We start from the raw sequence: 14,500 nt of genomic DNA on the forward strand, positions 1-14,500 counted from the left end.
GGAGCCTGCGATGATATGGGGCTGGCTTCTACGCTGGACATGGTAGGCCCAGTGCCTAAGACCCCAGCAGTGTTTTAATTTCTTTTAAAATAAATAAAATCCAGCCTTGATCACATTTGTATTTACACCAACACAGTCATAAGACAAAATTTTAATTTTTTTAATGGAGGAAAGGACCCATAAAGACAAAAGTGCATAAATGGTGTCCACATGAAGCACACTGTGGCCCTGATCAACTCTGCCACTTCCTGCTTGCCCACTGCATGCCTTGAACTCTACATACCCTCTCTACTCTTCCCAACAACCCTGGAAGTTAAGCATTAACACTGTCCTTATTTTATACAGAAGGACATTATAGTGCAAAAAGCTTTGGTAATCATGATGCAGAAGAAAGACCATAGATTTTGGACACAAACACAGCTGGATTAGAATTCCGGCTCATCCATTAACCAACTGTGTGACATGGAGCCAGGTTCAACTTTCCAGAGCTAAGAGAATGAAGTAAAATATATACAAAGAGCTAGTACAGAATAAGCAAAAAATAGTGGCCATTACTGTAATCATTACTACTGTTTGAACGGCTAGTGGCTGAACCAGCATTCTAACTCAGGTCTGCTGCTGAAGTCTTTTCTTTATCCACAGTGTTTCTCTTTAGAACTGCATGACAGACAAGAGGCTCCAAGAAACATATAGTTGTGTGACCCAGTCTTAAAAAGAAAAAAGAAAAAAAAAAGACCACCCTTGAATAAAATCATTCCATACCAGAATAATAATAATAATAAAAGCCACAGTTAATAGTATTATAGTCCTTTTCTCTCTCTCTGTCTGAATAATAGAAATGAGCAACATGACTTGATAATTTCAGTTCAAAAAAAGCACAGGGTGAATTCATCATTTAGTTGAAATGTTTTCATCCACCAAAGAGGCTGCACCCCAAATTCACTTCCAGCAGAACTTCAATATGCCCCACCTTGCTGCACGAGTGGCACTTCTGACCTTTGCATCCTTCAGAGATTTCACTTTTTAGCCAAAAGATCTCTTTCTAGTTCTTTGCAATATTTTAACTATATAACAAAGAGACAGATGTTTAATCAACTACAACTCAGAATATTTATAATAAAACTCTTTATCCATAAATCTCTTAACAGTTTACAGTCATCCATAGCATTTCCTGGACTTTCAAGGCTGATTTTATATGCTTTGGGTGAGAATTTCAACCATAATTCAGCCCCTCAGAAAGGTCTATTAGTGGACTATATAATCACACTTTTAAGGGTGCTTGACAAGTCTATATAGCTGCACACAAATTACATTTTAAAGAGTTCTTTTCAGTGACCAACTGCCAGTGCAATTGAAGATACTTAATATTAAAAGTTAAATATCTGACAAGACCTTATGAACACTGAAGAATGTTCCATTTAGAGAACATTTTTATAATATACAGAATTCTACACCTACATTTAAAAATTAGGAACATTTGCATGAGAACAGGGTCTATATTTTAATCAACTCATTTTCTCCAGCTATTTATTTCCTCTCACAAGGATCTTCTTCTCTTCATGATCATCTGAAATTATGATAAATTAGGGTGAGCAACTGCACAGCACAATACTTACACCCTTTCACAGGAAAAAAAAGAAAAACCTGTAATCCCAGCACTTTGGGAGGCCCAGGCAGGCAGATCATGAGGTCAGGAGATCGAGACCATCCTGGCTAACACGGTGAAACCCTGTCTCTACTAAAAATACAAAAATTAGCCGGGCATGGTGGCGGGAGCCTGTAGTCCCAGCTACTCAGGAGGCTAAGGCAGGAGAATGGCGTGAACTCGGGAGGCGGAGCTTGCAGTGAGCCGAGATGCGCCACTACACTCCAGCCTGGGCAAAAGAGCAAGACTCCATCTCAAAAAAAAAAAAAAAAAAAGAAAAGAAAAGAAAAGAAAAAAGAAAAACAACCACAAACACCACAGAAAAATAAGCATGCGCCCACATTGTGTTGTACCACTCCATTAGCTGTGTCCACACAAAAGTGTGGCTGTTTTGGTCAATTTGTTGTTCTCCAAATTGTAGAAATCATGGATTTTAAAATCAGCATGTTCCAAAAAAACGAGCTTAGAGAATTTCCTGATCTCAGCATTGAGCCAGTACGTTGAGAATATGTTTTTTTACCGTAAATTTGTGCTTTGGATGAAACTGGAAGAAGACTTTGAACAAGAAATTTTTAAGATGTGTGTGTACAAAATATATGGTTGTAGCAAGACCTCATTAAAGTTGAGCAATTCAGGCTGTGAACAACATTGCCAGCCAGGCTGTTTAATTCAGATCTAGTTCCCTCCTCCCCAGCATGCTCATCTGCCAAAACTGCATTAATAACTTCCAGAAACATCGCATTTTTCACCTTGGAACAAACTAATACAGGTTAAACTGTTTCATAAACACAGTACTGAAAGAGACCTCAGAAATAATTTAGTCTACCTCTTTCCCCACTTGCTAAACTTTCATTCCCTTTGTGATATGATCCTGAGAGATTATTCATTATCATGGTCCTTTACCCCGGAGACATGAAGGAATAACAAAGAGCAACAGAGACACGCTGTGCCTTTAGGGATGTTAACAGCCAAAAATAGTGAAAAATTCCACTAGTCTACAGCACATCGAATATCTGATTAAGCTGCAGGCCAGAATTATACTTCAGTTTCAATGAAAAGTGTTTAAAATCAGTTCCAAAGCCATCTACACTAGTGACCAAGTGCTGCTAGAGCCTTCACCGCCAGGCCCAAGGCTGGGATTGAATTTCCCCAGACAGTTCACTACTGCAGACAATAACAGTTGCCACATTCAAGTTTCATATGTTATAACACCCTGTGATTTAGACTCAAGTTCCACTTGTACAGCTGCCTGCTTAGTGTGTAAATGGGAACAGGGAGTAGAATCTAGGTCCCCAGCCCAAGGAAAACAGATCCTTTTATATCTTAAGAGACAAACTGGCTGTCCTGAAGCCTCATGAGAACCCAAAACTCCTATATCATTTTAGCAGCAAAAACATCTCTGCTCAATATTCAGAAGATTTTAGCTACACGTTGCAGGTTCTTCTTATATGACCAACATCAAATGCAAAGAAGTAAAAGAAAATCAGAGACAGAAAGCACCTCAAACTTCTATCTCTACAAAGAAAGGGAGAAAATGAACTGCTTTGCATAGGTACCCAGAAAAATCCTGGTGCCTAAAGTCTTATTCTAAGTACACAGGTATCAATCAGTCGTATATAAGTGAAAGATGAGTGTAACAAAAAAGAGACTGAAGACTTTTACAAAAATAAATTGTTAGTAACTCTAATAGAGAGATAAAATATTACTTATAAGTCCATTTTTACTTCAACTAGTATAGTGTCAAATGTTTTTGATATGCTAAAGCATCTACCAAGTACCAGACTGGAATATAACAGGTACTCAAAAAATATGGGTAGAATGAACAGATATTTTTAAACTACTTGTATTCATGAATTGTTCCACATATCTACATAGGAAATTAAGTTCATTTGGGGCTGAGATGATGCTTTGTTCACTTTAGCAAATGTAAGACAGGATACTACAAATAGTAAGTGATTCAATAAATGTTTAGAGAACACAATATGGACCTCCTGAAGATGCTAAAGACCTGTAAATTACCATCTTTAGTCAGTTTAGGAAGCTAAACAAGAAATGTGGTATTGCTCAATTTAGGCGATCAGAGACCACTTTCCACTGAATTCTGCTACAGGCCCCAGAATGGAATATTTTGGAACATAAAAGTGACTCCTCCATTACTGTCCAAATGATATTCCTTCAAGCTAATGTTTAAATGTTATTTTTATTTTCATCAAGCCCCAAAAGTAAATGATTTAAAGTAAAACTAAACATAATTTCTAAGGAATTTATGAAGATCTTGTACAAAAAAAAAAAAGTAAAAATAAATGACCTCACTCTCTTTTTTCCCTTTTTCTGTTCCTTTCCTCTTCTACTCTCACCAGATTAATGTCAATAATCCCACATTCCATTTCAAACAACAGATGAATAGATAGAAGATTAGCTTTTCACAGAAACAGCTGTAAATAACTATAATCTAGTTAGTAGGATTCCTTTATGGCTTGAAGGGTTATAACAACAGGAGTCCTAAATTTCCCTGATCAAAAACTTTAATTCCCTCCTATAGGGAAACAACAGGACATCTTCTAAAGTTCAACAACAAGGTCATGTATACAACATTTATATATATGAACTAATCATAAAGAACCAGGGTAAAGAATTTTAATCCTATAAAATTTAGGTATACAAAGATCCAAGGATCTCATAACTAAATATTTTCTAACAAAAAGTGAGAGGAAAGGTAGCTTAACATCAATCAGTTCTCAATGTCCTAAGAGTGACTTTCTCTCCCTAAAAAATAGAGCATCCTAAGAGAATGTCCAAATAAGTCTGGCTAAATTTAAAACAACTCAAAGTGAAGTAGGAATAATTTATTCAACAAAATATTCTGGTTCAGACTGAAGTACCTGGAAAAAGAAAATATGAAAATATCAGGTTTAATGGCATAGTAATAATTTGGATATAAAAATATTAATTGTGCACTACTATTTACTGAGCGTCGGCAAGGCAACAGAAATACAATGGGCACAATTTCCCTACTCTTTAATGTGAACTTGCTTTTCCAGACATCTTCCCAATGAATGAGTTTTTACAGAAATGCTTCTTGCTTGGTAAGAAGCAAGAGAGCAGTCTGAAGAACTGGGCCCATCCCTTTGGAGCATCTGCGTGGGTTACACTATGGCTAGGGAGCAAAGACAGAGTGGACACAAGGTAGAAAAAGGATCTACATAATGGGACGTCAGCACTGTTAGGGAAAATTGGTTTATACCTCAGTAGACAGACATGAAAACTGCTTACTTATAACAAGTACTTTATATGGAATTAGACAGCTCTTACCCATTAGTTCGATCAATCTTTTATTTGATCATTTCATGAGGCACAGACAAACTGAATATTTTCATTCTCTTTACCACCAACTGTGGAAGACACCCAGAGCCAACCAGACATCACAGACATAGGCCAAATCCAGGTAGGTTTTCTGGTGACCACAGACCTGCACACTTAATCTACACCTCAGAGCAAAGATAAGGGCCATAATGCTAGTTCATAGTTCCAGAAGAATCCACTGTGGATCCACACAGGCTCGGCGTCCACAGGGGATTATGTATCTCTAGGGAAAGGTCACATGTAAACATTCCCAAAGGTTCTAATTAGCTCTAGGGGATATCACTGAGGTCCAGGCTACTCTGGGAATATCAAGATTTTCCCCACAGGACCAATCAGAATCCCCTTAGGAAATCTACAAAACAGAACTTTGTCCTCAAGAGATCGATGAGTTGGGCAATAAACCAAGACCACTGCTTGAGTTATTCTCTGAGGCAACATCAAACTTTCATGGTGACTGGGATCCAGTATTGGCCATATTTGCCTAAACCAACGGCCTCTAAACGCCAAGGAGGCAAACTCACTGAAGATGAACCCCATTTTGATGTCCACACAGCCCCAAATTCAGTCCTTTCAGAAAAAGGAGTATAGCCAAGGCACAGTCCAGGTAGCTGGCTGCAGCATTTCCCCTGAGATTTATATATTCCCTAAATTTATTATTTAAGCATAAATAACCTTTAAATTCAATAGTTGGACATTTCTCTCTCAAATATTATTTTGGATAGTCATTGCCTTCAGAATCTTGCCAGTCTGTCTTCTGTTGTGCAAAACTCAACCATTAAGAAATTTAATGGGCACAATTAATGTCTCTGATTTGTTTTCCTTCCCAGGTGACAGCATTTACTGATAGTTACTGCTGATGAGCAACTTGCTATCAACTTTTATAGTTGCTCCTGCTTGCTAGCCATGGGACTTTGTGTGAATTTCTAGTATATAGTAGGCACTCAATAAGTGTTTGTGGAACAAATGAACGAATGAACCCAGCTGCTGCTAAAATACTATGAGGCTCCATATAAAGAATGTAAGAGGTTTGACCCATTGCAGGCACTCAGTAATTGAGGCAAGGGCAGAAGTGGCGGTGATGGTGGACAAGGTAATCAGAGTGGTCACAACGTAGCAAGTCTTCTTCTGGTTATTCTAATGTAGGGAAAACAAGCACATCAAATGGAAAATATTCCCTGGTCAGTAGGGAAAGTCAATTGCTGATATTATGGGACTAGTGAGGATCATGATTACAGATGGGCAGTCCCCATGGGCTACAAATGGTATGGAAATCTACCCTGGGAATAAATCCCTTCCATTCCTGCAATGGATGGGGATAAAAGTGGAATAGGATTTGAAGAACACAGTTTCATGCAATATCAATGGCAATAAGTAGGTACAATTTTCTGCTTTTCACTTATCATAAGAGTTACTGGATGGAAATTCTAAGTTAACTTCTAGAAAATACCAAGCCCAAGGACCCTCTCATAGGCACCCAGCAGCTGGCTTATTCCTATTGCACTACATCAAGGGCACAAAGGAGTTTTTCCTTATACCCTAAATTTCTTTCCATTTCTGATGGCAGCAACAGCCAATTCAAGGCAAGCAGGAAAGCAGTTTGGGGATCTGGAAAGATAAATTCTTCTAAAAGAGGGAATGATAGCTCAGTGACAGTACTGATAAATTCTAAACAATATTAGGCCATATAGAGAAATAGAAAAACCTGTGAATAGCACCCATTTCTTATCTAAAAAGCACAAATAAGGGAAGAGTTTTCAGAAGGAATCTGGATGAGCCAAATTATTAGGCCAGATACTACACCCACTATCCAACAGGTGAAGGTAACTACAAGAAAAGGGGATGGTAGGGTAGGGATTTTATTGAATTAGTAAATCCTTTAAAATCAAGTCAATCCCCAAATATGGAAAAGATAATTCTCTTTCCATGAGAGAAGTTGAAGTGGTGCCATAACAGAAATTAGCCCTAAATGTTTCAGAACTGTGGTTAGAAGTTAAGTTACATAAGAACATCTGGATGGCAATCAATCAGTGGAAGATATTATATGGTATAAAGTAAAATTACATTTTGGGGACAGTTTAGTTCACTGGTATGTTTAATGCTGCTTTGGATAGCACAGTGAGTAAAACTGCTGAAATGAAGACTACTATGAAAAGCAGATCACTCAAAGAGAAAAATCAGACTGACATCAAAATCCCCATCAAACTAAAGCTAGAGTGGATGCAATTTTTTTAATGACTTATCTTGCCACTGGTCTGAAAAATATTGTTTATCGTGTTTTCCTTTGTTTCTGAATTCTTTGGTCAACTCATGGGATTGCTCGAATTCAGTTATTTTTGTTGTATTCAATCATGCTCAATTAAGAATAAAGCCTGCCTAAGTAAAACTCATGAAGTAAAGATCTACAATTACAATAATTGCAGTAATGGTTTTTAAAGATACCGCATATCTAGATCTCAGGAAAAGTAAGCTGGTCTTTTCTATAAAAAACTAGACCAAAGAAAGAAAAAGATGGTAAACAAATCTCCATCCCTAACTAGGGCTATTGAGTACACAACTGAAATAGCCAACCTCATAAATTCACCTTTATAAAGAACAGCTAAAAGCATGAGATTGAGGGAGGACGTAGAACTATGAACAGAGGGTAAAAATGTAGGACAAGTCTCTTCCATGCATCTGGACCCAAGAAAATGGACCCTGTGCTACTGTATTCCAGGCATCCCTAGAGTGCTTTCACTGGATGACTGTTTTTATTACCCCTCTACCCAAAATAATTATTATCTATTAATGCGTACATTTAAAATCCAAGGAGTGGTTTAAATGTGGTTCAATTTTATGGGAAAATAGCTCCAATAGCCTTGTATTTACAGAAATGTACCAATCTTAAAGGAACATAGCCACTCAACAAAGCGAAGTGTATCTGTTCAGAAGGAAACCAAGAACACTCCTTCAAAATGGGTTATTTTAAGGAAATAATTTAGGTTAAAAATTAGAGATAATTTTGTCTTCAGAAGTTTTCAGCTGTTAAGCATATCACTGCCTTACCAAAGAATACTTCAGAGTCTCTATTTCTGGAAAAATAATTGTAAGAGTTAACAACTGCCATTCAGATATGACTAGGGGTAATCTTACATGGACACAGAAGGATCAACTAGATTATTTTCTATGGAATCTTCCCAGATCCATGAATCACTGCACACTAAATGGATGTATCAGATTTCTTGTAGATTGCATTTATTTTCACCTATGTCTCAGTAAAATGTAGAAAGCAGGGAATATTAGGGAATGTGGGTTAATTTTCTATCTAAAATCCTAATAGCATCCAAAACCCACTTAAATGATTAACATTCATGACATATAAAAATTCTCGATAACATGCTTAACGAATCATGCCATTTCTCTTCCCCTTCTCCCCCTCCTGTCCTTGTCTCCTCCTTCTTATCCTAGAGAAGTAGTAAAAGTGGAAGCCTCTTGGCCTCCAAAGAAACCTGAAAGTTATTTCAGGACTCTCAGAAGACTTCTTGACCTACTTGTATGCTGGGAAAAAAAGGAGAGGAAAAGTGGCAAGAAATACGTACAGTTTTTAAAGTTATGAAAAATCAAGCATTTACACTTGAAACTGTATATGTAACAGTTATCATGCTCTAAGACAATGACATCAGTTTTCTCCTTGTTTTTGCCACCTATAGTTTTTGTTGTTGTTGTTTTTGAGATGGAGTCTTGCGCTGTTGCCCAGGCTGGAGTACAGTGGCGCGATCTTGGCTCACTGCAAGCTCCGCCTCCCGGGTTCATGCCATTCTCCTGCCTCAGCCTCCTGAATAGCTGGGACTACAGGTGCCCACCACCACGCCCAGCTAATTTTTTTGTATTTTTAGTAGAGATGGGGTTTCACCATGTTAGCCAGGATGGTCTCGATCTCCTAACCTCGTGATCCGCCCGCCTCGGCCTCCCAAAGTGCTGGGATTACAGGCGTAAGCCACTGCGCCTGGCCTGCCACCTATAGTTTTAATATACGATGACTGTTCCTGTCTTCTGGGGTCACTACTCCCTTATATCTAGGAAAGCAATCCAGGTAGCAGGAGATGCGAAGACAAGTGGACCCACGGCATGCTAAAGCAACAACTACAGGCTCTATGGTGCCAGGCACCAGGCTGCAAACCAACGTGCACAAAAGAAAGTAACTAACCCAGAAAAATTGGGAAGAAGGCTACATAATTTAACCTGTGCAGAGATGAAGCTAAAAACTCCCAATGACTCTCTCCCTTGGCTGATGTAATAACTCATACAAAAATATGGGTTGGCAAGAAGTTAATCAAACCAACCCATTATCTGGAAAGAGTGTTCAAATTCTACTTGCTGCTTATGTTGTCTGAATTAGTCTTGAAAATAACCAGATATTATTTTTCGTTAAAAAAAAAAAGCAACAGAGATAGACACCAGGTCCACTGGCCTATTGTTCCACATTTAGAGTACATAACTAGAAGGCCCATTCTAGTCACCCCAATTGTATCCTTCCGTCCTGGAAGAGGATCTTCTCATGATTTTTCTTTTCTTCAAGTGATGTTCATCCCCTATTTATCCTAGTCTCTCTGCACTGACACTAATCTGCCTTGAAATTGGCTGATTCCGCTCGAGCCATGTTTACAGGAAAGTGAGTTTCATCAGGCCATCCTGTTCATAGACCAGTTTATGCTCCACAGCAGAGAGATTATTAAAAACTATATATTACGTGCATACACTTTAAAATGACTTGGGAAAGATAACTGTATCGTATCTGCATTTCATTGCCTGGGTTGTAGAAAGGGGCCAGGTAGCATTACAATCTTGAATGGAAATTGTTTCCCAAATATATTATCCTCTGTAAGAAACATTTAGCAACTGTTAGTGCCCAGGAGACAAAGGCTAAGGGGAAACAATGTGTGTAATAGAATGTAGAGAGGGATAGGAAGAGAGAGGAAAAAGACTCATTTAAATTATCAACCTGAGCATTAACCACAAGGAGAGAAAAACAAATGTTCTATCTTTTGCACAAACATCAATTACGTCTAGTAATTTAGCTGATTCCTCTCACTGAACAGGTGCGCTGGCTGCAGTGCAAAGTGAAAAGCGTGCACACCACTCTGGCTTCTATAAAAGGTACCAAGGGTCCTCAACTTGCTCTAAAAAAAGGTTTCCAACATATCCTGGAACTGCCATTATTGACAGTTTAAGCCAAGCCCCTACCTGCTATGTGGCAGTATGAGAGTGAAACCCAGTCTAGAGACTTGCCATTTCAAGTGGCTGCAAATTGGGGGCAAAGAGAGTAAACTCAAAAAGAAATTATGGAGATGGACATGGATTTAGCTATGTAAAGCCAACTGAATTATGCTTGACAAGGGAAAGCAGGATGACTGAATTAAGATAACTACAAACGCTAAGCATAAGCAATCTATTTAACTTGCTCATAAGACCAAGCCCAAAATTGCTTAAAGAACCAGAATTGGTCATTTGAGTTTCATTCCCAGATCCTTTTCTATTCAGATCCTAAGAAAACAAAGTGACCGAAAGACCTAAAGCAAGTAGGGGGAAAAGGTATAATCAAGAGCCCTGCTAATAGGCAAGTGAATTAAGCGGCTTCCAAAAAAACTAAAAACTGACTATAAACATATATACACACACACACACACCAACAAAGGAGTAAGTTACTCTTTGCCATAGTTAGCATTTAAAAACTGCAGAATGAAGTTGAAATACATGGAGTTTCTTCTGCAAAGAGGTACAATGCTAGTGAATGAAGCATCCACCAACTTGTTTCCCTGCAGCTCCCACAATGCGGAGTGAAAGAGGCCATTTATCTGTTTCTTTGTTATTTTATCATCATCATAAGAAAGAAAAAAGAAGGCCAGAGACAGCATCCTTTAACACTCTTTGTTTACTCTCTACCTTGATTATTGATGTTGATTCTGGAAGAGGACAGGGGTTTCAGTGAAAACAATGGTCTCAGGTACTAAAGCATCTGTTCCACTGAGTTTTACCCGTGTGCTAAGAAAACTTAAATGACTTGGGTTTTTCTTCTTCTGCTTTTAGTTAAAATTCCAAAATATCTCCTTCTAGAAACCCTGCCAGAAAAAGTGCTCCTGCCTTTTCTCAAGAATGAATAGCTATATTCCCTTGTCTTATGTAAACACATGGACCGCAGAGAATTTACGTAAGACCAGAGATACAGCCATTTGTCTTCCATGACTCTCATTGGAGACGGTGATTTGGATAGACAAATCATACTTCCATACCTTGTTTCCTCATCGGTATAAAGAGTAGCATAGTCATATTGAGCCATCTACCAAAGCAGGTAAGAGGACGAAAGAAATGGCTAAAGAAGGCTTTCAAGACCTTTAGAAAAAAATGCTAAAAGAAACAACTCATCTCCTCTCTTGGAGTAATTCCTTCCTATATTCTAAACTCTACCTTCCAAACAGCAACCTGAGGAAGAATAACATTCTTGGAATGCTTCCAAAGCAGTTCCATTAAGAGACAGAATTTGTAGTTCTGTGTCAAATGTTGGTGATCTAGGAACTCTAGATATAGACATAATTTTTTTTTTTTTTTAGACAGTCTCACTCTGTCACCCAGGCTGGAGTGCCGTGGAATGGTCACAGCTCACTCAGCCTCAACCTCCTGGGCTCAAGTAATCCTTCTGCCTCAGCCTCCCAAGTAACTGGGACTAAAGGCATACACCACTAGGCTGAGCTATTTTTTTTTCTATTTTTTTGTGGAGACAGGGTCCTACTGTGTTGCCCAGGATAGTCTTGAACTCCTGAGCTCAAGTGATCCTCCCACCTCAGCCTCCCAAAGTGCTAGGATTACAGGAGTGAGCCACCACACCTGGCCTCATGGACATGATTTTATCTTAAAGGTAAATGGTGTACACACATAAAGGAAGAATCTTACTTGTTCCATAGTCATAAAGCTGGACAAAACTCACTGCAACCACAACTGCTTTCAGAAATTGTTTTGAGAAATAATGCAAACATAACTCCTTTAGTCATCTGGATAGTTTATGTGCCTGTATTTATGTGCATTTTCCACACCAATAATCATAGACGCTTGTAACCAGTTTGGTTCTTAATGCAAAAATTTTAACAGTTGTGTGGGTGGGTCAAGAGGGGAGTGTATGTGTGAAGCAAAGCTATCATTGTACATATTTTACTACCATCTGTTGTTTCAATAATTTTTAATTACTTAACATGGAATTCTCAGTGCTGAGAATAAATTTTAAAGTAAGCTACCCTGATCAAATGTTTTCCACGTGTTTGGGTAGGGTGGGCTGGGAGGCAGGGGAGCTACAAAGATCAAAGGTCACAAAGAGCCCTCAGCCAACATAGGTATCTTACACGGCTGGCACATAATGTTTTTAAAAACTTGAGCCAACATTTAAAAGTCAATGTGGAGATGGCCTAAAAATTTAGGTAACTAGCTTCTCATAAAAATATGGTAGCATCTGGCAACACTGTCCATATTAACATTCATGCCCAGCCATAGAGCTGAACACCAGGTACCCCTGGAGGTGGGAGCTGTACTCTCCAGCTGACCACAGTCCCCACCTCTCCCTATTCTTTCCACAGCATCCTATTTTCTTCCTTTGTGTTACCTGCTTTGCCTTTATTGGCATGTATGAGATCCCCTCATATAGATGAAGGAATTTAACCCATGGTAGATGCTTAATAAAAATGTATTGAGGCCGGGTGCAGTGGCTCACACTGTAATCCCAGCACTTTGGAATCCCAGGTGGGCACATCACTTGAGGTCAGGAGTTCGAGACCAGCCTGGCCAACATGGTGAAACCTGGTCTCTACTAAAAATAGAAAAATTAGCCAGATTTGGTGGCGGGCCCCTGTAATCCCAGCTACTCGGGAGGCTGAGGCAGGAGAATTGCTTGACCCTGGGAGGCGGAAGTTGCAGTGAGCCAAGATTGCACGACTGCACTCCAGCCTGGGTGGCAAAGGGAGACTCCGTCTCAAAAAAATATATATATATATATAAAATATATATAATATAAAAAATATATATATAATATATAATATATATATTATATATAATATATAATATAAAAAATATATATATAATATATAATATATATATTATATATAATATATAATATATATAATATATATAATATATAATATATAATATATATAATATATAATATATATAATATAATATATATTATATATTATATATATTATACATTAAACATATATTTATAATAATAATAAATTATTAATTTTTAATAAAAATATATTTTATATATATTATATATAGAATATATAGAATAAATGAGTCAATGAAGAATCAAACATTAAATATCATTAGAGTAGGCAAGCCCAAAATATATTCCAGTTTATTTCCAAAGCAGTTACTTTTTGTACTATAAATTTTATAAATGTATTCAAGTATATTTTCAAATAGATTTCCAACATTTAAAAATAAGTTTGTATAAACTTCAATTATACCAATGATCAATCTCCACTAAATCACAGTACACTTTTGGTATATAAATTTGACCAAGAAGTCAACTGATGGATGCAAATACACCCCTCATTCTTCAGTAAAGTGAAGCGAAATATCACATGATTATTGGCAACATGGACATGCTTTAAATAGTCTATGAATACTCTCATGTTTTTAATCTGAAAAAAAGACCTCTCTCAAACTAGGCTTCTAAAATTACTTAAAAACTGGTCTCGATGTCGAGGAAATGAGACAGACCAACAATATGTTATCTCTTAGCTTTAAATTTATTCCATGCAGGTTAGGGGAGCACCAGGCCGCAGTCAGAACATGACTGCCAAAGAGATGCAGGGACAGGCTCTTCAGAAAAGGAGGATCCTGGAGCTGGAATAGGACCTTTTCAATGTGAGCGAATCGGCATCTGTGAGCAGTGCTTGCAGTGGAGCTGTACACAGACAGGGAGGTGAAGTGAAATCTGTGACTGGGAGTAAGCCATCACACTTCCTAATGTCTCCACCCAAATGACAAGCCGGAGAGCCCACTGCCATTCTTTTCTGCGAAGGAATTCAGCTCACAAGCCATAGTGGAGACAGGAAAAGCCAAGCTTCTTTTGACTAATTTTTCTAAATAGCCATGAGGAAGCAGTGATGAGGCAAAATCTGTCAAATTTAATGTTTCACAAAAGCAGCAGTGCAATATATTAAAAGAGATGTGAGAAACTAACCTCCAGAAGGGATTGTGGCATGAGATCTCTGCTCATGCTCCTAGTTAGCAGTTCTTATGTAACTGTTTGCTATGTCCATGGCTATACATCAGCACCTGTTTTGAAACAGCTCTGAGAGCAGCTGAGTGAGCCCATGACTGGAAGAAGATACTAATCAGATACAGAGACTCGACCCTTATGTGCACTCCTCATTGTCAATCATCCATCTGGGACTGTCAAAACAAGGCCAGTCTGTTTCCAGGAGCAGCATCTGCCCAGCACAGGACCGGACTTCAGTATCCAGG

General features: G+C 38.2%; 1 protein-coding gene across 2 annotated transcripts in view, besides 1 other annotated feature; it reads right to left on the minus strand.

The window, feature by feature from the left end:
* EFNA5 (ephrin A5) overlaps positions 1-14,500 on the minus strand; it is a 294,044-nt gene that overhangs the window by 201,927 nt on the left and 77,617 nt on the right. The gene's annotated exons all lie outside the window — the stretch shown is intronic.
* Positions 10,330-11,256: an enhancer, noted in NCBI's record as "OCT4-NANOG hESC enhancer chr5:106924851-106925777 (GRCh37/hg19 assembly coordinates)". NCBI's record gives its function as "activates a minimal SCP1, AML or CMV promoter by ChIP-STARR-seq in primed H9 embryonic stem cells {active_cell/tissue: H9 hESC(primed)}" and the evidence as "EXISTENCE:reporter gene assay evidence [ECO:0000049][PMID:30033119]".

This window comes from Homo sapiens, chromosome 5 (genome assembly GCF_000001405.40).
Source record: "Homo sapiens chromosome 5, GRCh38.p14 Primary Assembly".
NCBI classification, from domain to species: domain Eukaryota; kingdom Metazoa; phylum Chordata; class Mammalia; order Primates; family Hominidae; genus Homo; species Homo sapiens.